Genomic DNA, 20,950 nt, shown 5'->3' with positions numbered 1-20,950 from the left:
GAAATCTTCCACACTAATATTGATTTGCCCTTTTCACTTATTTAGGGTTCCTAAGACTTTGGAATTTCTTGGTATTCATTCCTCATCCTTAGGGAATGCAGAATTCTAACAAACTTCTGTGGGATAGATATGCCATCACTCACACACTGGTCTTTACTAATTTAGACCCTTAGTGTTATACATGGCTCATATGAAGAGTAAAGGGGAGCCTGTCGGTAGCTAGGCCCACATGTGTGCATGCCTCCTGGGCTGATGGCTGAATTGCCATTTGCTTCTTATATGACAAGCTCTTAGTGTATGTGCCCATTATCAGAGATATCACGGGCTTCAAAGGTCCAAGCTTGGCCATCCATTCCACTCTTTTCATCATACCCTTTGTGTTCTGACTTTGAAGCTTTTCTAGGTCTTAACATTTTCTTTCTTTGTTTTTCTGTAGGATCATGGATTTTCCTGGTCACTTTGAACAAATCTTCCAGCAGCTGAACTACCAGAGACTTCATGGCCAGCTCTGTGATTGTGTCATTGTAGTGGGGAATAGACACTTTAAAGCCCACCGCTCCGTGCTGGCAGCATGCAGCACGCATTTCCGAGCCCTGTTCTCAGTGGCAGAAGGAGATCAGACCATGAACATGATCCAGCTGGATAGCGAGGTGGTGACAGCAGAGGCCTTTGCTGCACTGATTGACATGATGTATACCTCCACCCTCATGCTGGGGGAGAGCAATGTAATGGATGTCTTATTGGCAGCCTCTCACCTGCATTTGAACTCTGTTGTTAAGGCATGTAAACATTACTTAACGACAAGGACGCTGCCCATGTCTCCCCCCAGTGAGCGCGTTCAGGAGCAGAGCGCCCGCATGCAGCGCTCCTTTATGCTACAGCAGCTGGGACTAAGCATCGTGAGCTCAGCCCTCAATTCCAGCCAGAATGGCGAGGAGCAGCCAGCCCCCATGAGCTCTTCCATGCGCAGTAACCTGGATCAGCGCACGCCCTTCCCCATGAGACGCCTTCATAAGCGCAAGCAGTCTGCAGAGGAGCGGGCCAGGCAGCGCCTCCGACCCTCCATAGATGAGTCTGCCATTTCAGATGTTACACCGGAGAATGGGCCTTCAGGGGTTCATTCTCGGGAGGAGTTCTTTTCACCAGATTCTCTGAAAATTGTGGATAATCCTAAAGCTGATGGAATGACTGATAACCAGGAAGATAGTGCGATCATGTTTGATCAGTCTTTTGGCACTCAAGAAGATGCCCAGGTGCCCAGCCAGTCTGATAACAGTGCTGGCAACATGGCACAGTTGTCCATGGCCTCTCGTGCAACTCAGGTTGAGACTAGTTTTGATCAGGAAGCTGCACCTGAGAAAAGTAGTTTTCAGTGTGAAAACCCTGAGGTTGGCCTTGGTGAGAAGGAGCACATGAGAGTGGTGGTTAAATCTGAGCCCCTGAGCTCACCTGAGCCTCAGGATGAAGTGAGCGATGTGACCTCACAAGCAGAAGGCAGCGAGTCTGTGGAAGTGGAAGGAGTTGTGGTCAGTGCCGAGAAGATAGACCTCAGCCCTGAAAGCAGTGATCGGAGTTTTTCAGATCCCCAGTCTAGCACAGACAGGGTAGGTGATATCCATATTTTGGAAGTCACAAATAACCTAGAGCATAAGTCCACTTTTAGTATTTCGAATTTTCTTAACAAGAGCAGAGGAAATAACTTTACTGCAAATCAGAACAATGATGATAATATTCCAAACACCACTAGTGACTGCAGGCTGGAGAGTGAGGCCCCCTATTTGTTGAGTCCAGAGGCTGGGCCTGCAGGTGGGCCCTCCTCTGCCCCTGGCTCCCATGTAGAGAACCCATTTAGTGAACCTGCAGACTCCCACTTCGTCAGGCCTATGCAGGAGGTGATGGGCCTGCCGTGTGTGCAGACTTCAGGCTACCAAGGAGGAGAACAGTTTGGGATGGACTTTTCCAGGTCTGGTTTGGGCCTCCACTCCTCCTTCTCCAGGGTAATGATAGGTTCCCCAAGGGGAGGAGCCAGTAACTTTCCTTACTACCGCCGCATAGCTCCCAAAATGCCAGTTGTAACTTCCGTCAGGAGCTCACAGATCCCAGAAAACTCTACCAGTTCTCAGCTAATGATGAATGGAGCTACGTCCTCATTTGAAAATGGCCATCCTTCCCAGCCTGGCCCTCCACAGTTGACCAGGGCATCTGCAGATGTTCTGTCAAAGTGCAAGAAGGCCTTATCAGAGCACAATGTTTTGGTTGTAGAGGGAGCTCGCAAGTATGCCTGCAAAATCTGCTGCAAAACTTTTCTGACTTTGACAGATTGCAAGAAGCACATCCGTGTTCACACAGGTGAAAAGCCTTACGCCTGCCTGAAGTGTGGCAAGAGGTTTAGTCAGTCCAGCCACCTGTATAAGCACTCAAAGACTACCTGCCTGCGCTGGCAGAGCAGCAATCTTCCCAGCACTTTGCTCTAGCTGTTTGTCCTTACAAGACAACGCTGAGGCCAGTTGTCAGACTGAATTTCTTTTGGTAAGCAGTTAATGCCTTTGGGTTCGAGGCTTCCAGCTGCCCAGTGGCTCTTAAACAGTTTAGCAACTAATAACCGGAGAACTAACATGTAGTATTTGTGCTGCTGCATTTCTGAGTGAAGTGCACGTCTTGGGAAAGGGATGCAATCCCTGAAACCAGGTGCTTCCTTGGGGTTGAGTAATGCAGTCAGAAAGTAGTTTGTAATTGATATTAAAAGTGGCACATTTAAAAATTTAAAAATTGAAGTGCAAAAAAAATTTTTTAGCAATTTTTGTAAAACTGTGTAGCATTTAAATTTCCTATACCTTCTGATGGGAGTATTATATCCCTGTATAGTGATGCAAAATGCACTTATGTGTAACCAGTGGTGATTTGGTGCCTGTCTTAAAGGAAGGCCTTTGAGGACACACCTGTCTGCCACAAATGCTTTAAAGTGTATCATGAGCTAGTCCTAGGCCTCAAAGTACTGTATTTTTTATTTTTACCTGATTTGCAGTCATAAACACTGCACTTTGGTGCTGACACTGGGTCCAGAGTGAGCATTCTCTTGGACTATTAGATGTATATACTTTTGAATACATCACTGTTGGATAGATGTTTTAACAGTTTTTTCTGGTTTAAAAACCAAATTGTAAATGGAGTGTGTACTTGTAGAGAGTGACAAGGTATTGTTTCCCTATGTGCTGTTTGAGCAGTATTTTAACCAACTTGTATTACAGATGTTACAGTTCCATGTTAGGAAGTCAGAAAAGACTTGTGTTTGTCTTTGTTCTGCTGATGTGGAGTCATGTTTTGTGGGGTCTTCCATGGCACATTTACCTGTTGCTCCGTCCAGATGTTGAGGGCCAGTCTAGGCTGACACATCCTACCCGAGGACAAGCCTGTTCTCCATTTCTTCACTCTCCCCTCCCCATATAGCAACTCTCCCAGGTTTAGATTACCGTTTTCGACGACAGATTAACCAAAAATGCCCCACACAGGTTTTATTACTGTTATATACTATACTTTTAACAGTACAGACCCTAAATTTTATTATTTGTTGCTCCCCCAATCTGATACCAAATGTTTAAAGTTGTTTGAAATCCAAACATGGTAGTGTTCATGGGTAAATATTTTCTAGGCTATGTAAGAGTTAGCAGCCCATAGCATAGAAGTAATCAAGTAGCATCTGAGACTGTTGGAGGCACTAGGGCCTCTCTGGGCCCTACAGCCTCACTTCCCCAGCCTCACCTTGCTGTCCTCTGACACTGCCATCAGGGCTGTTAGTGGCACCTGTATGAGGCCAAGTGTGCGTCCAGGGGAACAGCACAGGTTAATGCGTCTCCCTAGAACTCATGAAGTCAGTTTAATTCATGCATGAACATGAGTTCATTTTATGTTTTATATAGCTTTCTTAGACATACCAAACCATCATTCATAAATCAGATAAATTATTCAGTTTTTGTGTTTAGAAAGCTAAGTATGTGTAGCTGGAAACAAAAATGAGCGTGTTTTCTCTCCTGTTAATCTAGAGTGTGCAGTTACACATGTGTGGATAATTTCATGTTCCAGGGGCGCTTGGCATCTCCCATGGACTGATTCCCAGGAAGAAAAGCCCAAAGGGAAACCCACGATTCCTTTCGAGTAGATGTGGGAAAGAGCCCATTGGAGGATATGAGGTCCTGTGAAATTCAGTTGTGTGTGTGGCTCCTTGTTAGCAGTCATGTTGACATGGTGTTAGGAGGCTCCCCATCCACCCTTTACATGATGTAGGGACCAGTGTCTTGTGAGATTAACCTTGGGACACAGTGGGTTAGCCTGGAGAAAATGAGAGGCCCTGCCTGGACCCAGGGAGAGGAGCCAGTGACACAGGCAGAGCGGTGCAGCCCTCCTTCCCTTCCATTTGGAGGAGGTGGTGCCAGGAGCCTGCCCGCTTACCTCTGCTGAAGCATAAGTGGACTTTGCTTTTGGGGCTTATCTCTGATACATGCTGGAGCCCTGCCTCTCCACTGCTAGATGGAACCTGGAATCTCTCATCTACCTCTTAGTCTGTCAGTTTCTACGTGTGAGAAGCAAGCTTGTGGGCCAGTGTCCTTGTACATGCTGTAGCACTTAAAAAATAATTCCAGGGTTCCCTGGAAAACCAGTCCCAGGGTTCCTATGATCTGTAGTTTCTACCTGGATTATAACTGGTTTTGGGTACCTGAATTTTGATTGGTTAGCCTTAATTATAGTCTGGCGTGATCATGTAGAATCTTTTCTGGTGAACAGATCATAAAGTTCTATCAAGGAGTTCTATCAAGGCATCCATGTCAGTGGTGCTATGCTGGTTACAACTTGAGATTTTTGAAATAAAAAATTTGTCATATTCATGCCTCTAAATATGTGTTCTTTTTCTTTACGTTATTAAGGTTGAAACCAAAGAGGGTAATATCTCTTTGCCAGCCCTTCTTTGACTAGTACTTTGTTTTAAACCAAACCTTCTATTAACAGTTAATTGGTCGTTCCTCTCAAATCATTCCCTTCTGCCTTCCCCCGCCTTTTCTGTCTTTGAGCTACGCACATGCATGAGATTTTGCTTTTCAGTCTACCCAGTTGCTCTCTGAGGGCCTGCGTAATCTTGTGCTGCTCCCTGGACCTGCCTCCCAAGTTGGAAACTCCATCTGCCAGTTTGGCTTGGCTGCTGGGAAGAGCTGGAAGCTGATTCCTTGAGCACAGAGCAAGGCATTGGCAATGGCAGTGCTGTGGCCTGACCTTGGAGAGAAGTGGGTAAGGTGGTGATTAAAAAAAAAAAAAATCCACCTGGGGGCAGGGAGGGGCTGGGGGGACAGAATGGGCAAAGGGAACAATATGTGTAGGTGCTGAAACTAATTTTAAAATTAAACCCACCTACCTCTAATCGTTCTGACCAAAATAAGAGTTACGTCCTTACCTAGTTCTCATTTCTTCCAGTTAACTCCTTTTCTGGAAGTGCTCCTTAATTTTCCTGATGGTCTAGGTATCAAGATTCAAGTGCCATGGTCACAACTGGGTTCTGTTTGTCCCGTCCTTGGTGAGGGACAAGTGAAGGAATCTGGGCAGAGAAGATGAGGGGTAAGGTGGTTTGGACACGTTCCAATAAGGAAAATGCCCAGGGCTGAGGGCTGGGGTGGGAAGCAGAGCCAGGCAGATCATTGGATGCTGTGACTTTGAAACATGCTCTTTGTATTTTTAAAGTTTTTTTTGAAACGGTGTCTTGCTACATTGCCCAGGTTAAGTGTAGTGGTGATTTAAAGAGTGATCATAGCACACTGCAGGAAACGGTATCTTGCTACATTGCCCAGGTTAAGTGTAGTGGCGATTTAAAAAGAGTGGTTATAGCACACTGCAGCCTTGAACTGGCCTCAAAGGATCCTTCCCGCTCAGCCTCCTGAGTTGCTGGGACTATAGGGGTGCGTCACCATGCCCAGCCATATCCACTTGTTAGCTTCCCCATTTACAGGCCAAGACGGTCTCTCAGAGAATTATTTAATAATAGAATTACCATACTTTTGGCGCAAATGTGTCCAACACCAATGTGACAAGTACATATATCAGAATCACTCTTTCCTCAGAGAATCACACCTTCCCTTGGCTCTGCCTGTGGATCCAAATCAAGCCTGGGTGTGTCTGACAATACCAGGGCACGGTTTGCTTCCCGGCCCTCCATCTCTACTGTTTGGCTACAGCTTGAGTTCACTAGGCATCGGCTCCCCTCTCAGGCCAGCCAGCAAGTTGTTAGCTGCCAACAAGGACATGGTGTTGCGGGTTCTGTGGGTGGCACTGCCAATGTGGGGCAGAATCACTGGAAAGGAGAGAGAGAGAGAGAGGGAGATAAGAAGGGTGGTTCAGCAGCCTTCAGCTGGGCTGTTTTCATGGCTTGGGTTTGCCGGTAAGAAGAATAAAGAGAGACTACCTCATGGTTCCATGCTTTGCCTTCTCTCCCACCTTCACTAAGCTTGACACTCCCCCAGAGCTGAGGTTCAGACTAACAGAGTGAAGGGCCTCCAGGCTACTAAAACCCAGTCACAATGTGATGAAAGATTTGTATTCTAGGGCTGGGCGCAGTGGCTCATGCCTGTAATCCCAGCACTTTGAGAGGCCAAGGCAGGCAGATAACTTGAGCTGAGGAGTTTGAGACCAGCCTGGGCAACATGGCAAAACCCCGTCTCTACAAAAAATACAAAAATTTAGCCAGGCGTAGTGGCCCACACCTATAGTCCCCGCTACTTGGGAGGTTGAGGCAGAAGGATTGTTTGGGCCTGGGAGGCAGAGGTTGCAATAAGCTGAGATTGCACCATTGCACTCTAGCCTGGATGACAGAGGGAGACTCTGTCTCAAACAAAAAAATGGTGAACGCATAGGAGTTTAGCACTGGCCACCTGTACCATGTGCCCTTGAAAATGATGCCACATGACCACAAGGTTTCTGATCTACAGAAATAACTCCAAAATGAAATGCTGAACAGCACAGTTATCTCTGATCCCACCCCAGAGCAAGTGAACTTACTTGCCCCCAAAGAACCGTCAGCTGGGTGCAGTGGCATATTCCTGTAGTCCCACCTACTCCAGATGCCGAGATGCAAGGTTCGCTTGAGCCCAAGAGTTCGAGGCCAGCCTGGACCACATAGCGAGACATCATCTTTACCAAATAAACCCCATAAAACTGCTTTTGGGTTTTTTCCAGGTAGAAATCATGTTTCCTTTTAATTGAGTACATTTTCTTCTTTAAATTTTATCATTATTGTAATAGGGTCTTTGTTGCCCAGGCTGGTCTTGAACTCCTGGCCTCAAGTGATTCTCCTGTCTTAGCCTCCCAAAGGGCTGCGATTACAGGTGTGAGCCACTGCGCCCAGCCATAATTCAGTACTTAATTCACAGAGTTTCTTCTCCTCTCTGGTAACAATTAGGTCCCCTCCTCTCAAGAACATTGCATCTGATCAAACTGAGAGCCAGCATGAACATGGACCCCAAACCAGAGCTTTCAGAATAACAATGAACAGCAAAAACCAGCCTTTCCCTACACTTAGGAAGGGACTGTGAATGGCAGGGTCCAAATTTTCACCATCCAAATAGAAAACCCGGAGCTGAATGCCAACATGGAAACCAAAATATGTCAGGAATGAAGTATAGTACCCCTTTACATACTCAAGGTCAGGATAGGTTTGGAGAAATTTGCATCTGACTATTTGGCCTCTTCTAGTAGAGAAGAGTTTTTGAGACAGGGTCTTGCTTTGTTGCCCAGGCTGGAGTGCCATGGCATAGTCAGCTTACTACAGCCTCAACCTCCTAGGCTCAAGTGATCCTCCCACTTCAGCCTCCTGAGCAGCTAGGACTAGAGGTACATACCATTACACATGGCTAATTTTTTATTTTTTATAGGGATGGGGTTTCACTATGTTGCCCAGGCTAGATTCGAACTCTTGGTCTTAGGTGATCCTCCCGCCTTGGCCTCCTAAAGTGCTGGGATTATAGGCGTGAGCCACCCTAATCAGCCCCACCCCAACGTTTCAGACATATAATGAATCAGAATAAATCCGCTCACTCACAAGAAACATTCCTGGATAATGGTTTTTGGTTGCTGAGATTGAGTAGCACATTATTTCAAAGTGGCAAAATTCAGGGCCATCTAGGAGAATTCAAAAGTGGTGGCTATATTTGCCGACAGGTTTACACAGGACACATATAAAACAACCCCCATTTTTTTAGCGTATATGTCAAGAGGCCAAGACCCCGATCATCAAAATATGTTATTTCGTACATTACAGTTTACAGGACAACAGAGGGAAAGACACTTTGTTGGAGGGTGACTAAATGGCATTTTGCAAAAGGTCCGTGTCACTCTGAAGGGGTGGAAGGACTGGAGTCCTATGGCCTTCATTAACTTGACCCCTCCTCCTCTTTGGTTGCAGTGGCCTCAGTGGGAGCTGCTACTTCTACATGTTCTGCGGGCTTTTCCTCTACCTCTGCCTCACCTTCTTGGGGACAAAGATCTGGGTATTTCTGCATGCATTCCTGCATGGCCCCAATTGGTCTACACAGTCTGACCCCTTGACATTCTCCATACTATAGTGGAAGCAGGAAAAGTCCAGCTTGAATTGTTCCCCACAGGGGCCGCTGGCCCTTCCCCCAAGGCACAGGCAGTTCCAGTTAATGTCTCCATTTGGCAGCCTCAATCCGTGCTCCCCCCATAGGGATCACTGGGGTCATCAGCTGTGTTGCTTGGAGCTGCATGGTCTTTTTACATCACAAATGATTGCATCCTTCCCTTCCTGCTGGCAGTAGGACATGGCTGCAGCCCAGTGCTTAGATTTTGTAGAAGCAGCGGTGGCGGCTGCAGCTTCATGCCCTGACTGCCCTCTCCTCAGACCAAGACCTGCCTTTTGAAGCAGTCCCCAGGCCGTGAGCTGAATTCCAGGACCTAGGGTGGGGGTGGGAGGGCAGTTTTCCTGGCTGTGGGCGACAGCCCTGACATCACACCCAGTGCTCCTTGCAGGCTGGGGTGGGGGAGGGACGGGAGAGTTTCCAAGGGCTGCAATAATGGGAGCATTCACTGGGGAAGGCAGCTGAAGACCTTTTGTTTAGGTTTCCATTCCAGAATCCAAATTAAGGGCAGAGACTGGCCCGGACAACCTAAGGCCCTGATCACTCTTAGTCTGGAGGCATAAACTCCACCAGCTACCTGAACAGATCTTAATATAAAGAATCATTAACTACGCATCAAGTTGTTAACTCACTGAGCAGGTAACAAAAACCCAAACCACAAAGTGTGGTCCCTGGACCAGCAGCATCAGTGGCATCTGGGAGCCGTGAGGAGCACACTCTGTCAGACCCCACCCCAGACCTGCTGAAATAGAAACTCTCGGGATGGGGCTAGCAACCTGTGTTTGATCAGTCACTCCTCCAGGTGATTCTGACGAACTCAAAAGTATGAGAATTGGCCGGACACTCATGCCTGTAATCCCAGCACTTTGGGAGGCAGAGGCAGGTGGACCATCTGAGGTCAGGAATTCGAGACCAGCCTGGCCAACATGGACAAACCCCATCTCTACTAAAAATACAAAAATTGGCTGGGCCTGGTGGTACACGCCTGTAATCCCAGCTACTCGGGAAGCTGAGGCAGGAGAATCGCTTGAACCCAGGAGGCAGGGGTTGCAGTGAGTTCAGATTGCACCACTGCACTCCAGCCTGGGCGACAGAGCGAGACTCTGTCTCAAAAAAAAAAAAAAAAAAAAAAATGTGAGAACCACTGCACTGTGGTAGCACAGAGGTAGCAACTGCCAGAGGCACTTCTGGTGCTGCAACTCAGACTTCGGTGGCACGGGCACTGACTGGCTGTTGCTCTTGTCTCTGAGCAGGGCTCAATGGGGCTGGTTCACCAAGTGTTGGAAAAACTGCAAACTGGATTCCCCAGCCACTATGGGAAGGAACTGGTGCTGCTAGATGAAGAAGTGCTGCTGCCACTCCCCCAAAGACAGGAAGGGAGGGCAGGAGGGAGCAGGCCCTTCCACACCCACGCTGACAAGGCCTGCCAGTGCAGCTGGCACAGCAGAAATGGGGTGTGCAGAGGCCTGGCCCCAGCCCCACAAAGCAGAAGAGAGAAGGGGGCTTTGTTGTGAAACAACAGCTTGAAAAACTGGCACGAGTTATATTGGCATTGTCATTACACTTTTAATTTTTCACAGCTAAACTGGTAATAGCAATTTATAGTAACAGGTTTTACACGAGTCACTGTGGTGTAACACATGGAGACATGTAGTCAGCCCACTTTGTTGTTGTTGTTGTTTTGGAGATGGAGTCTCACTCTGCCACCCAGGCTGGAGTGCAGTGGCACAATCTCGGCCTACTGCAACCTGTGCCTCCTGGGTTCAAGCGATTCTTCTGCCTCAGCCTCCCAAACAGCTGGGACTATAGGCATGCACCACCATACCTGGCTAATTTTTGTATTTTTAGTAGAGATGGGGTTTCACCATATCGGCCAGGTTGGTCTCGAACCCCTGACCTCGTGATCCACCCACCTCAGCCTCCCAAAGTGCTGGGATTACAGGCATGAGCCACCACGCCTGGCCCACTCTTTTTTTTTAAACAAATCCACTCACACCTACATTCTGTTCCTTTAGGGACAGAGACCCAGCAGAGCATGCGCAAGAGGACTGCTCCTGTCATACACCCATGTCACTGACAACATAAACATTTACGATCCCTGGTGTGTCCCTTTGGGTTCAACACCTGCTCACACTAGCTCCACACCCGGCCCCTTGGGACCCCCTCAAAAACACTGGTCCTGCAGGGCAGCAGGGAGTTTGCATCAGAAAGTGCAGTTCTTACCACAGTTCTTCAGGGTCAGGAGAGGGTGGTTTGTAGGCAGTGGTTCTGGGCTCGTCACATCCAGTCCAGCAGCTGCAATCTTACCACTGGCCAAGGCCTGGTACAGGTCGTCCTGGTTTACGACGTCGCCCCTGGGAATGACAGTGGTGACATGGGTACCCCGAAGATCCCTCCGCCCAGGCCACCTTTGAGGCAGAACAACCTACAGAATGAATTTTTCCACTCACTTGGCACTGACTTTTAAAGCAGTAAGTCTTAGGTATACTTACAGTATGTCTGTAAGTCTTATATACTCAGAGAACTCCAGCCCTGCCTCCTTCTAGCTGTGTGACCTTGGGCAAGTGTCTCAAATTCTCTGTGCCTCGAATTATCTGTGTCTCAAATTATCTACTCTGTGAGATAAGGAGAATACCACCTAACTCCCAGGCATGTTGGGAGGATTAAAGCTTTCTTACATGCTCTACTGCATGAACAGGGCCCAGAAGGGCATCTGTGTTAGGCCCCATCCAAGTGTTTCTGATCTGGTTGACCCCCAGACCCCCACTGAGAAGCACCACAGTGTGCTATCAGGTACCTGTCTAAACCAGGGCAGAGGAACGAGCACACCCCTAACCACAGCCATCAAAGGGAGCGGCGACTGAAGGCAAGAAGTCATCTTCTAGAGACTGTATATTGTGCACTAAGTAATACTTGTGCACTAATGAGTAATACACGGTCCTGGGCTGTCCTGGGTACATGCAGGCACCCAGTACACGGCAGCTGTGACTGCTGCCAGCCAGCAGTGCGAGCCCTGTGGTCCTGCATGTTTCACTCTTCCATTCCCAGGTCACCTGTTTTGTAGCTAAATGTTGGTAATTACAGGTACCTTTGGGGTGGACGAGTCCTCAGGATGACCTCACCCAATCCCCCTTCCCCTAAACTGATGTAAACAGGCTCAAGGGGCACCAGCTAGGAAGGGCTTGGAGTGGCAGAGAAGGAAGGTCTGACCTCCATACATGCCCAGTGGCCTGAAGGCACCCCTAGGGACAGTGTGAGGAGCTACGACCACGTGAGTTTTAGGGTCTGTCCGCCCAGGAGCATAAGGTTCAAAGTATCACTGAACCACAGCCAGACAAAGCCAGGCTCAGCAGTGTGGGAGGCGGCCTCCAGAGGGCCCTTCAGATCCTCAAGTCCAGCCCTTTGTGGTGGAGGATAATGGGCCTGCAGAGGCTCCCTGGGAACACTCCCTGAAGCCACGCTGCTGTGTGCCAGGCCCCGCCGGGTGGGGGCCACTGCTGAGAAGCAGACAGGCCAGGCCCACTCTGACGGCTCTTCTTCCCTGTACGGAGGTCTCGTGTATTCCCACGAATTTCTGAGTTGGTTGTTTGGTTTATGGAAACCAGCAAGCTCAGCCTGGGGTCTCACCAACAACCCACGGGGAAGAAAATCTCCAGATGGCAGCAGTGGGGATGGCTCCTCTCCAGGCTTGCTGGGTAAGGTGGCCCTAGGATACCTGCTGATGTTGATGAACACAGCTGTTTCCTTCATCTTCTGGAAGAAGTCCTTGTTGCAGAGTCCCTCGGTTGCAGGTGTTAAGGAGCAGGCCACGACGATGAAATCAGATTGGGCAGCCAGCTCAGGGGTAGACACTGAGGGAGGGCAGGACTCCATCAGGCACTGAGTCCCAGGCTAGGGACAACCAGATGGCGGGAGACCAGCCCCTTGCTCCCGACTCCCTAACAGAAACTCCCAAGATGCTTCCTGAAGGCCGAGTCTCTACCTGGACAACTCTCATGAGTGCACAAAGTCAAATCACACACAGTGGGATCTGGACCACTCTGGCTTTAACTACCTTCAGGGCCCAAAGTGCCCAGGGGCGTGGGGAATGCTTGAGATCCAGCCTGCCATCTGCTCACCAGGCTGTGGACCCGCCAGGTGCTGGATCCGCCTGGACTAAGGGGCGCACACAAAGGCTAGGGTAGTGCTTGCCAGTTTATGAAGGAAAAGACAGTGAAAGTGCCCAGCCCTTCCTCACACCCACCACCATCCCCGCTGCTCCGCCCACAATGGGGAATGGTAACAAAGGACTCTGAAAGACGGGAGCCCTGGACTGCTCTGCTGGCTCGGAGAGGACCTGGGTAAGTCCCTGTGCTCCCTGAGTGGGCCAGTGTCCAGGGGCAGGTAGATTAAACATCTACCAGACAGCAGCCCCTGGACATGCCTGGAGCTCCTGCCCTCTGCCTGAAAATGCCACCATTGAGAGAAAATACAGCCTCTCAACTGGGCACAGATAGGCTCCTGTGGAAATCAAGGCTTCACTTACCAAACTCTGCCTGGAATTCTGCTGCTTCCTCAGGCCTGGGCTGGCGCCCTGTGTACAGAAATCTCTGGACACCGAATGGTTTCAGACGCCGAGCAATGGCCTGGCCTAGAGCAAGGAGAGTCCATGTCTCGTTCCCAGTCCCGCAAAGGGTAGGGACACCACCCAGCATTTCTGGAACAGCGGCCCTCAGGGCAGACCCTTTTCATCAGCACAGCCCGAGTTGCCTGCTCCTGTCTCCTCCAAAGCGGGTGGGGGGCTGGCTGCCCCACTGTAACTAGCCCCCAGCCAGCCCACACTGCCCCAGGGATCTGGAGACAGCACCTCAGCTCCCCTGAGGCTGTGACTGGCTGATGCTGTCCTCACATGGTCCAAGCCATCTGGAAAGCCACTCAGGTTTTTCCTAACCTCTGAGAACTGGAGAGGTTTTCACAAGGGAGACACCTGGTCAAGCAGTCCCCTCCTTTGTCCTGGACCCTCTGCTTCTGTGAATGCAGTCTCAGACCCCATTTGACTTTTTGGTGGCACTGCCAAACTGCCAGCTCACCCCAAACTTACAATTTTCATGTAAGCTGCTGCTGAGACAGATTTGTACAGTTGGATTTTCAGGCTCAGAACGTGCCCCAAAGCTGTTGGGTTCCTCCAAGCAACTCTCTAGTGAGAGGCAGGGCTGTTCGTTGGCTAGACAGGTTCTCCACACTCTCCACCCTCACCCGCACCCCTGCACCAGGCAGGATGACAGAGAACCACCAATAGATAGCTGCTTGGCTAGGCTCACGCCCTTCTGCCAGGCTTCTCCAAATAAGGGCCACTGGAAGAAAAGTGTCTCTGCCTCATCTGCAGAACTGCAGATCAACTCTGCCCACTGAGCCCTCCGGCCCGAGTTAGGGCTTTGTGAGTCACATACCTTCCAGAACGCAAGCCGGAGTAGGTGTCGGGGGAATGGGCTCTCTCACGGTAACCACTCCTAACGGCCCCAACACATTTGTAGTCTTCATCTGTTCTTTATGGAGCCGGAATCATGAAGCCCCCTGACCCTTAGGCAACTTGCTTTTATCACCTGGTGAGTTCTTAAGGAATCCTGCTTTGGTTTATTTATGTATTTGCCTGTGTTTTACAAAGCTGTATCCCTCATTAGAGATATCTCTACTGCAAGCAAAGTGCCCTGACAGCATGTGGGTCTTCTCAGCCTTCAGACACGTGGTGCCAGGGATGCAAACCACGCTGTGAGAGCCGGGGCGGGCAAGCGGGCCGGTGGGAGCCTCACCTATGCGCCCCAGCCCGATGATGCCGACAGTGCTCTGCGTGAGTCCATAGCCACACAGCCAGAGGGGCTTCCACGAGGTCCAGCCACCACTGAGGGGAGAGAGAGGGGCAGGTGAGAGGCCCAGCCTTGGACCAAGATGGGGGCCGCTGAGAACCCGGCACCTCTGACTGTGGTCCAAGGTATAAACCCACCCTCCAGGTCACGGACTGAGAGTGGGATGAGGCACTGCCACTCGGCACTGCAGATGAGCAGCAGAAACGACTCCACCTTTAAAGCCACCAGAGACATAGAACTTGAGGGCGGGAAGGGGCCTTACTGGCTCTCATCCTGTTTTGCAGATGGGAAAACAAACCAGAAAGGGTGACTTGCCTGAGGTCACACAACCAGGGAAGAGTTGAGAGCAACAGGCTGCAAACTCAGGATTTATGATTCCAAAACAAGTTCTCTTGGCACTTTAGGGCAGCAACAAAGAGTACAGCCACAGGGCCCACCCTGCTGCCCTGGGCAAGAGATGGAGCCTGCCCTGAGCCACCTCCAGTAGATGTGATGACTCCCCAGACAGGACAGTGAGCAGGACTCAGCACTGTCTACTCTGCTCCATGCCCCGTGCCGGGGCCCACGCTGCTGGCCACGCACTGTGAGAGCCTGCGTTTGCACGCCTCCCACCTTGACTCGGGCCAGTCCCTCCATCTGCACATGGAATGCTTCCCCCAACTTTTTTTTTTTTTTTTTTTGGAGACAGGGTCTTGCTGTGTCGCCCAGACTGGAGTACAGTGACATGATCTCGGTTCACTGCAGCCTCTGCCTCCTGGGTTCAAGCAATCCTCCCACCTCAGCCTCCCGAGTAGTTGGGACTACAGGCGTGTAACACCACGCCTGCCTAATTTTTGTATTTTTTGTAGAGACAGACTTTTGCCACATTGCCCAAGCTGTTCTCCAACTCCTGAGGCTCAAACAATCTGCCCGCCTCGGCCTCCCAAAGTGCTGGGATTACAGGTGTGAGCCACCGTGCCCGGCCAACTCTAACTCTTGATATACAGGCCGAAATCCCTGATCTGAAACCTTCAGGCTAGATTTTAAAACTGTTTGGCCTTTAGAAAGGCAGCATGGCGCACGTGGTAGATTCCACACATCACCCTCTGCAGTGTCTGGGCAGCAGCCTGTTTTAAAAGTGTTACATCTGCAGCAAAACTTAGGAAAGTCACATTAAATGGGAGAAATAAAAGCCTTAAATAGTCTCCTGTTAGTATGAAAGAACTTTCAGCTGTCCGAGCTTTTTAGATTTTGGGATCTAAGGGATGGTGGACCTGCAGCTTTCAGGACTCAAGCGGACGCCCACCTGCTACTTATTCTGTGAAGCCCTCCCTGATCCACACTCTCCCTGCCAGCCCTCACCCACCAGCAGAACTTGTTTGTCCTCCCTCATCCTCTTCTCTCACCACTTCCCTTTCTGCCCTTATTGCAGCTCTGCTTTGTGCTTTATTTTAGCTGAGTCCTCACTCAATGGGGCACACCTGGGGTCAGGGACTATGCGTGGGCTGGACTGGCACAGTGATCAGGATCCAGTGCTGAGCAGAGCCAACGTTCCTGCCAGGCGTTCACTTATTTTTCTTTTTTTTTTTGAGACAGAGTCTCACACCGTCACCTGGGCTGGAGTGCAATGGTGTGATCTCAGCTCACTGCAACCTCTGTCTCCTGGGTTCACATGATTCTCCTGCCTCAGCCTCCCAAGTAGCTGGGATTACAGGGACCCACCACCACACCCAGCTAATTTTTTTTGTATTTTTACTAGAGACGGGGTTTCACTATGTTGGCCAGACTGGTCTCGAACTCCTAACCTCATGATCCGCTCACTTTGGCCTCCCAAAGTGCTGGGATTACAGCCGTGAGCCACCGCACCTGGTCTGCGTTCACTTACTTCTTCACTTCCTCGATGGCCTCCGGCAACCGGCGGCAGGTGGTAAGTAGCAGGGAGACTGCGAGTTCGGCGGTGGTATCTGTCAGGACATCTGGGGTGTAGCCAACTCGGATCCCACTACGAATCAGACATCTGGTGGTAACATCAGCCTCAACCATATTTACCAATGTCTACTGCTGGGACATTTCCATGGAGTTACTTTGCTCCCTCTTTGATCTGCCTGCCAGGAAGCTCAGAACTATAAATGAGCACTCAAAAACGGGCAGTCCTCATTCCTATTTAGATTATCTCCCACTTTGGAAGGATATGAAGATGGAAGATCAGGGTTCAGGGACTGAACAAGTAACTTAACCTTTCTGAATTTCCTCATCTGAAACAGAAAGAATAACACCTGCCTTTGCTACTTCAAGGTATTGTTGTGGGGATCAAAAAAGATAATGAATGTGAAAGGGTGCCACCTACACAGAAGTTACCCACTGTTTCTGACTGCTGGGGTTTATTGTAACTGACCTGTGCACATGTGGACAGATTCTATCATCAGCCACCTCACATTCTCCCTGAATGGCCGAGGGATATGCAGTAAAAACAAATCAACAGCTCTTCTTTCTCTCATAGCCACCCCTCTCTCTAGGCCCCCTCCAGATCCCAAGCTGCAGTTACCGCTTCTTGATTTCATCCAAAGCCAAGTGGTCGATGCCCACAGACATGGTGCTGATGACTTTGAGATTGGCCCCTGTTGTGCAGAAAGTGCATTGTTAGTATCTTTCCTCGAGGAACTCAAAGCCACAGCACTGGGGACTATCATGGGGACACCGCTTATTATTGTTTTCTTAGAATAAGAGGCTGACATCTCTGTTCTTCAGTTAAAACTCTGAATAATCCCCTTTGACAGCCTCAGACACTGCAGTTCAGGGAGGTTAAGTGGCCTGGCTCAGTCACAGGCAGAGCCGGGTTCACCTCAGGGCCTCTGCCACCAAGGCCCCGCTCTTACCCACTGGACTGTCCACCCAGCGAGGCCTCCGGTCTTCTTTAGCCACGCTGGGGCCTCCCCCATGGACACCTCTGAGAGTGCCAAGAAGGTGGCTGGGACGTGACCCTCTCTACCCTCTCCTGCAAGCAGGACACCACAAAGCTTCCAGGCCAAGGCCAGGATGTGGGGCGGCTCAGCACTGACTCACAAGGGTCCCTTCCCATCTGGCAGCCTCTGAGTCTGAACCTTTTCTCAAAACTGTCACAACAGCCTCACAGGGGGAGGTTTATTCTTCCATGGGCTGAGACCCGTGGCTGCGGTTGAGGAAAGACATCCTGCTGGGGCTTGGCACTGAGCTAGGTCCTCCCTCATACTACGCACACGCCCAGAAGGGGCAGGGTCTTGCTGGAGGTCACAGAGCAAGGTTGTGGCAGGGCTGGAGAACCCAGGGCCTTGGATGCACTTCCCCACACCCACAGTCTCCACACCGCGGTCTTTGCCCTCCTAGGGTCCCCCGCCAAGGGGTTCACAGCAGGAGGGAGGGGCAGTGCCTGTGCCAGAGCAAGCTATCTGCCCGCTCGGGCCTGGTATCGCAGGAAACGCCCTCAGAACCCAGACAGCACTGCAGAGCAGCCAGGAGCCAGCAGCACAGGCTGAGGGGCCCACAGGGCCAAGCCACCCTCAAGTCCCCTGCCCACCCAGTGTGCACCTGCAGCATCCAGGATCCTCTTGTCCACGTGGTCGGAGAGGAGGCAGAGCAGGCCGTGGGCCCCCGCCACACCTCGCTCTAGCTCCTTGGCAGGGATGGGCTCATCCGAGTCCCACTGCTCCACCTCACAGCTGCGGGGAAAGGGAGGCCCTCAGGAGAAGCAGGAGCCGCACACCTGTCCCCGCCCCTCCCAGCTGGGAATCCTGGCCTCTGATGGCCCTGGCCTCAGGCTGCCCGGGGCTGGCTGAGGGGAGGCAGGGTCAGGCAGGGGTGGTCTCAGAACTGTCCCGAGACAGCAGGTGACAGGTGAAGGGCTGAGGGGCCCCCCAGCAGAGCCTAAGCTGCAAGGGGGAAGGCATGGGGACAGCTCTCAGGTCAGCACAGAGAAGAGCTTTCCCACATTCACAGGGGCTGGGCGGCCAAGCAGGCGGCCAACTGCAGGGAAGGCCCGTGGGGGGCAGGGTGTGCCTCAGGTGGGGGGCCTGGATTCAATGGCCTGTTGCATCTCTTCCTGTCCGTGGAGTCCATGAAATAGAAAACTCTCATAGTTGGACTGGGCCAGGAAAGATAAGGTCAAGGCCACCCAACGCTTCCACGGCAGCTCACAGCAACCAGATATTTGTCCCAGTGATGCACGGTGCCTCCTGGCCCTTGCCATGGAATTCAGTACAGTCAGCACGTGTGGAGCCTCTATGTGGCAGGACACAGGATAGCTACTTGCACCTCCTGACTGAGCCCAGGGCACTGACCACCTTTCATCCACCTCCCCATGAGCAGGGTACAGCGTGAGCTACTGTTACCATGGGCGCGGTTGCTGCCTTCCACCTTCTCCTGCTCAGTACAAAGTGGGTCCTTGGCAAAGGTTTTGTTGCAGTGAACAAAATTTGAAAATCTCATATGCCCCTAGAACTGGCTGCTGAGGCTGGATTGCATCCTCTTCCTATCTAACATTGGAAACACAAACCTGATCAAATGCAGTGATCAGACAGCAGTCAGACACTTCTGAGTACAAGCCCCAGCTCCTCCACCTGGGAGCTGCATGGCTTTGGGAAGAAACTTAACCCTAAGTCCAGCCTCCAGTTTTTAATCTGTGCAATGGGAATTATAATACTGACTTCACAGTGCTACCAGGATTAAAAGTTTATGTATATGAAGCACCTGGCAAGGTTGGCCCACAAAAAGGGTTCCATTTAGCAAGGGTGGGCCAGGTGCAGTGGTTCATGCCTGTAATCCCAGCACTTTGGGAGGCTGAGGTGGGAGGATCCCTTCGTACAGGAGTTCAGGACCAGCCTGGGCAACACAGTGAGACCCTCGTCTTTGAAAAAAATAAAAAATTAGCCAGGCATGGTAGTGCATGCCTGTAGTAGTCCCAGCTACTTGGGAGGCTGAGGTGGAAGTATCTCTTGAGTCCAGGAGGTTGAGGCTGCAGTGAGGTATAATGGTGCCACTGCACTCCAGCCTGGATGAGAGTGAGACCCTGTCTTAAAAATTAAAGGGTCCTCAGGCCAGTCATGGTGACTAACACCTGTAATCCCAACACTTTGGGAGGCTGAGGCAAGAGGATTGCTTGAGCCCAGGAATTTGAGACCAGCCTGAGCAACAGAGTGAGACCCCCATCTCTACAAAAAAAAAATCAGAAAATTAGCCGGTAGTGATTGTTTGCGCCTGTAGTCCCAGCTACTCGGGAGGCTCAGGTGGGAGAACTGATTGGGCCCAAGAAGTCGAGGCTGCAGTAAGCCACGATCGATCGAGCCACTGCACTCCAGCCTGTGCAGCAGAGTGAGACTGTCTCAAAAAAAAAAAAAAAAAGATAAGTAAATATAAAGAAGAAGAGTCATCAAAGCCCCCTGCCAAACGTCCAAGGGCCTGGTCAGTGACCGCCATGTCCCTGACCCCACATGTCCTGTGGGAGCGTGGAGAATTAGCCTGGACCTTGCCTCAGGGGCAATCTCCCCTCTCCAAAGCCGGAACTGCAGGTCCCAGCGTCGTCTTAAGAGGAGAACTGGGCCCCAGAGAACTTTCTCCGAGACTCCCCAAAACTCCAAGCCTGCCCCAGCCGGCCACAAGGCCCAAACGCCCCGCCCGGCTCTCCGGTCCCTGGGACCGCCCTGCTCCCTCCTCCACGGCGCGCGAGGCTCTTACTCTGCCGCCCGGGCGAGCGCGACCCTACCCTCGGCGGGTATCCTGCGGGTGACGAACACCTTCATGAGTCGCACCGGTCTCATCCGCAGTGCAGCCGCCGACCCGGACCTGGCAGTACAGAAGCTGGCCCGGGAATGTAGCTGGGCCGGGGCGGGGCCAGGCTGGAGTGGGCGGGAGAGACGTCGCGCGCGGCGTGCGCAGGGGGTGTGGCTTCGCGAGAGGGAGCGCCGGGTTGCGGCTGAGCGGTGACTGTGCGTGCTCGGGGAGTGACAGTAACAGTGACCCTACACAGTGTCCTTGTGTGTGTGTGGGGGGGTGCGCCTCGTGCCACTGGGGAATCAGGGCCCCGGGGGAGAGGGGGCAGTATCCCGTCCAAGGCCTCATGGGAGCCCTGCTTTTTCTACACGCTCAGGGTCCTGTTTCCACAGGCTCAGGCCTTAAGAGACTGAAAGCCCCCACTTTTTCTGTCTCTTGGGTTGGCCCAGGGTAGAAACCCAGGTTCCAGGCTGTGAGGAAGTCCAGGACACACAGAGAGGTCACGTGTAGGTGTTCAGGCCAACAGCACAGCCAGGGGCCCGGCTCACAGCCACCGTCAATGACCAGAGGTATGAGTGAGGAAGCCTTCGGGTGACTCCAGGCCAACTCCCACCTGACTACAGCTAAAACTGCAAGAAAGAGCCTTTAGGAGAATCACTGGCTGAGCCCAGTCAACCCCGGAACCATAAGAGATGATAATGCACTGACTGCTGTTGCTCTAAGCCGTTCAATTTTGGAGTAATTCTTTATGCAGCA

The 20,950-nt window shown here is 51.2% G+C and overlaps 2 protein-coding genes and 1 pseudogene across 12 annotated transcripts in view, besides 7 other annotated features; 1 reads left to right on the top strand and 2 right to left on the bottom strand.

The window, feature by feature from the left end:
- The window catches only part of ZBTB5 (zinc finger and BTB domain containing 5), a 27,349-nt gene extending 22,459 nt beyond the window's left edge, over positions 1 to 4,890 (top strand). For both annotated transcript variants that reach the window (NM_014872.3, XM_005251634.3), the window contains exon 2: positions 437 to 4,890. In NM_014872.3, the coding sequence (NP_055687.1) occupies positions 441 to 2,474 (2,034 nt within the window). In that variant the 5' untranslated portion in view covers positions 437 to 440 and the 3' untranslated portion in view covers positions 2,475 to 4,890. The remainder of the gene's footprint in view (positions 1 to 436) is intronic.
- On the bottom strand, positions 3,498 to 20,557 carry GRHPR (glyoxylate and hydroxypyruvate reductase). 10 transcript variants are annotated; one of them, XR_002956828.2, is made up of 11 exons: positions 20,187 to 20,557; positions 18,017 to 18,147; positions 16,998 to 17,070; positions 16,338 to 16,454; positions 14,420 to 14,508; positions 13,156 to 13,260; positions 12,346 to 12,481; positions 10,854 to 10,984; positions 8,075 to 8,154; positions 5,441 to 5,581; positions 5,210 to 5,262 (listed from the first exon to the last, which is right to left on the bottom strand). XR_002956828.2 is itself a non-coding variant. In XM_024447716.2 (10 exons), the coding sequence occupies exons 1-10, from the start codon at positions 20,540 to 20,542 to the stop codon at positions 5,510 to 5,512; spliced, it is 1,290 nt and encodes a 429-aa protein (XP_024303484.1). In that variant the 5' UTR covers positions 20,543 to 20,557; the 3' UTR covers positions 5,210 to 5,509. The 10 variants fall into 10 exon arrangements, 8 of the variants coding, with proteins under 8 accessions (XP_016870810.1, XP_024303484.1, XP_016870809.1 ...); XR_007061375.1 differs by lacking the exon at positions 8,075 to 8,154 and having other exon boundaries at positions 3,498 to 5,262; positions 20,159 to 20,296; XM_024447716.2 differs by having other exon boundaries at positions 5,210 to 5,581.
- Positions 7,952 to 8,590: an enhancer, noted in NCBI's record as "NANOG-H3K27ac-H3K4me1 hESC enhancer chr9:37434399-37435037 (GRCh37/hg19 assembly coordinates)". NCBI's record gives its function as "activates a minimal SCP1, AML or CMV promoter by ChIP-STARR-seq in primed H9 embryonic stem cells {active_cell/tissue: H9 hESC(primed)}" and the evidence as "EXISTENCE:reporter gene assay evidence [ECO:0000049][PMID:30033119]".
- On the bottom strand, positions 8,206 to 8,891 carry CHCHD4P3 (coiled-coil-helix-coiled-coil-helix domain containing 4 pseudogene 3; annotated as a pseudogene).
- Positions 13,950 to 14,450: an enhancer, noted in NCBI's record as "H3K4me1 hESC enhancer chr9:37428539-37429039 (GRCh37/hg19 assembly coordinates)". NCBI's record gives its function as "activates a minimal SCP1, AML or CMV promoter by ChIP-STARR-seq in primed H9 embryonic stem cells {active_cell/tissue: H9 hESC(primed)}" and the evidence as "EXISTENCE:reporter gene assay evidence [ECO:0000049][PMID:30033119]".
- Positions 14,451 to 14,951: an enhancer, noted in NCBI's record as "H3K4me1 hESC enhancer chr9:37428038-37428538 (GRCh37/hg19 assembly coordinates)". NCBI's record gives its function as "activates a minimal SCP1, AML or CMV promoter by ChIP-STARR-seq in primed H9 embryonic stem cells {active_cell/tissue: H9 hESC(primed)}" and the evidence as "EXISTENCE:reporter gene assay evidence [ECO:0000049][PMID:30033119]".
- Positions 17,084 to 18,024: an enhancer, noted in NCBI's record as "H3K27ac-H3K4me1 hESC enhancer chr9:37424965-37425905 (GRCh37/hg19 assembly coordinates)". NCBI's record gives its function as "activates a minimal SCP1, AML or CMV promoter by ChIP-STARR-seq in primed H9 embryonic stem cells {active_cell/tissue: H9 hESC(primed)}" and the evidence as "EXISTENCE:reporter gene assay evidence [ECO:0000049][PMID:30033119]".
- Positions 19,699 to 20,324: an enhancer, noted in NCBI's record as "H3K27ac-H3K4me1 hESC enhancer chr9:37422665-37423290 (GRCh37/hg19 assembly coordinates)". NCBI's record gives its function as "activates a minimal SCP1, AML or CMV promoter by ChIP-STARR-seq in naive H9 embryonic stem cells {active_cell/tissue: H9 hESC(naive)}" and the evidence as "EXISTENCE:reporter gene assay evidence [ECO:0000049][PMID:30033119]".
- Positions 20,325 to 20,950: an enhancer, noted in NCBI's record as "H3K27ac-H3K4me1 hESC enhancer chr9:37422039-37422664 (GRCh37/hg19 assembly coordinates)". NCBI's record gives its function as "activates a minimal SCP1, AML or CMV promoter by ChIP-STARR-seq in naive H9 embryonic stem cells {active_cell/tissue: H9 hESC(naive)}" and the evidence as "EXISTENCE:reporter gene assay evidence [ECO:0000049][PMID:30033119]".
- Positions 20,335 to 20,484: a silencer, noted in NCBI's record as "silent region_19904". NCBI's record gives its function as "represses an Ori minimal core promoter by ATAC-STARR-seq in GM12878 lymphoblastoid cells {active_cell/tissue: GM12878}" and the evidence as "EXISTENCE:reporter gene assay evidence [ECO:0000049][PMID:35858748]".

The sequence above is a fragment of the Homo sapiens genome, chromosome 9, assembly GCF_000001405.40.
Source record: "Homo sapiens chromosome 9, GRCh38.p14 Primary Assembly".
Lineage (NCBI taxonomy): Eukaryota > Metazoa > Chordata > Mammalia > Primates > Hominidae > Homo > Homo sapiens.
Note: the sequence above shows the minus strand (reverse complement) of the source record. Positions and strands in the feature narration are given on the sequence as shown.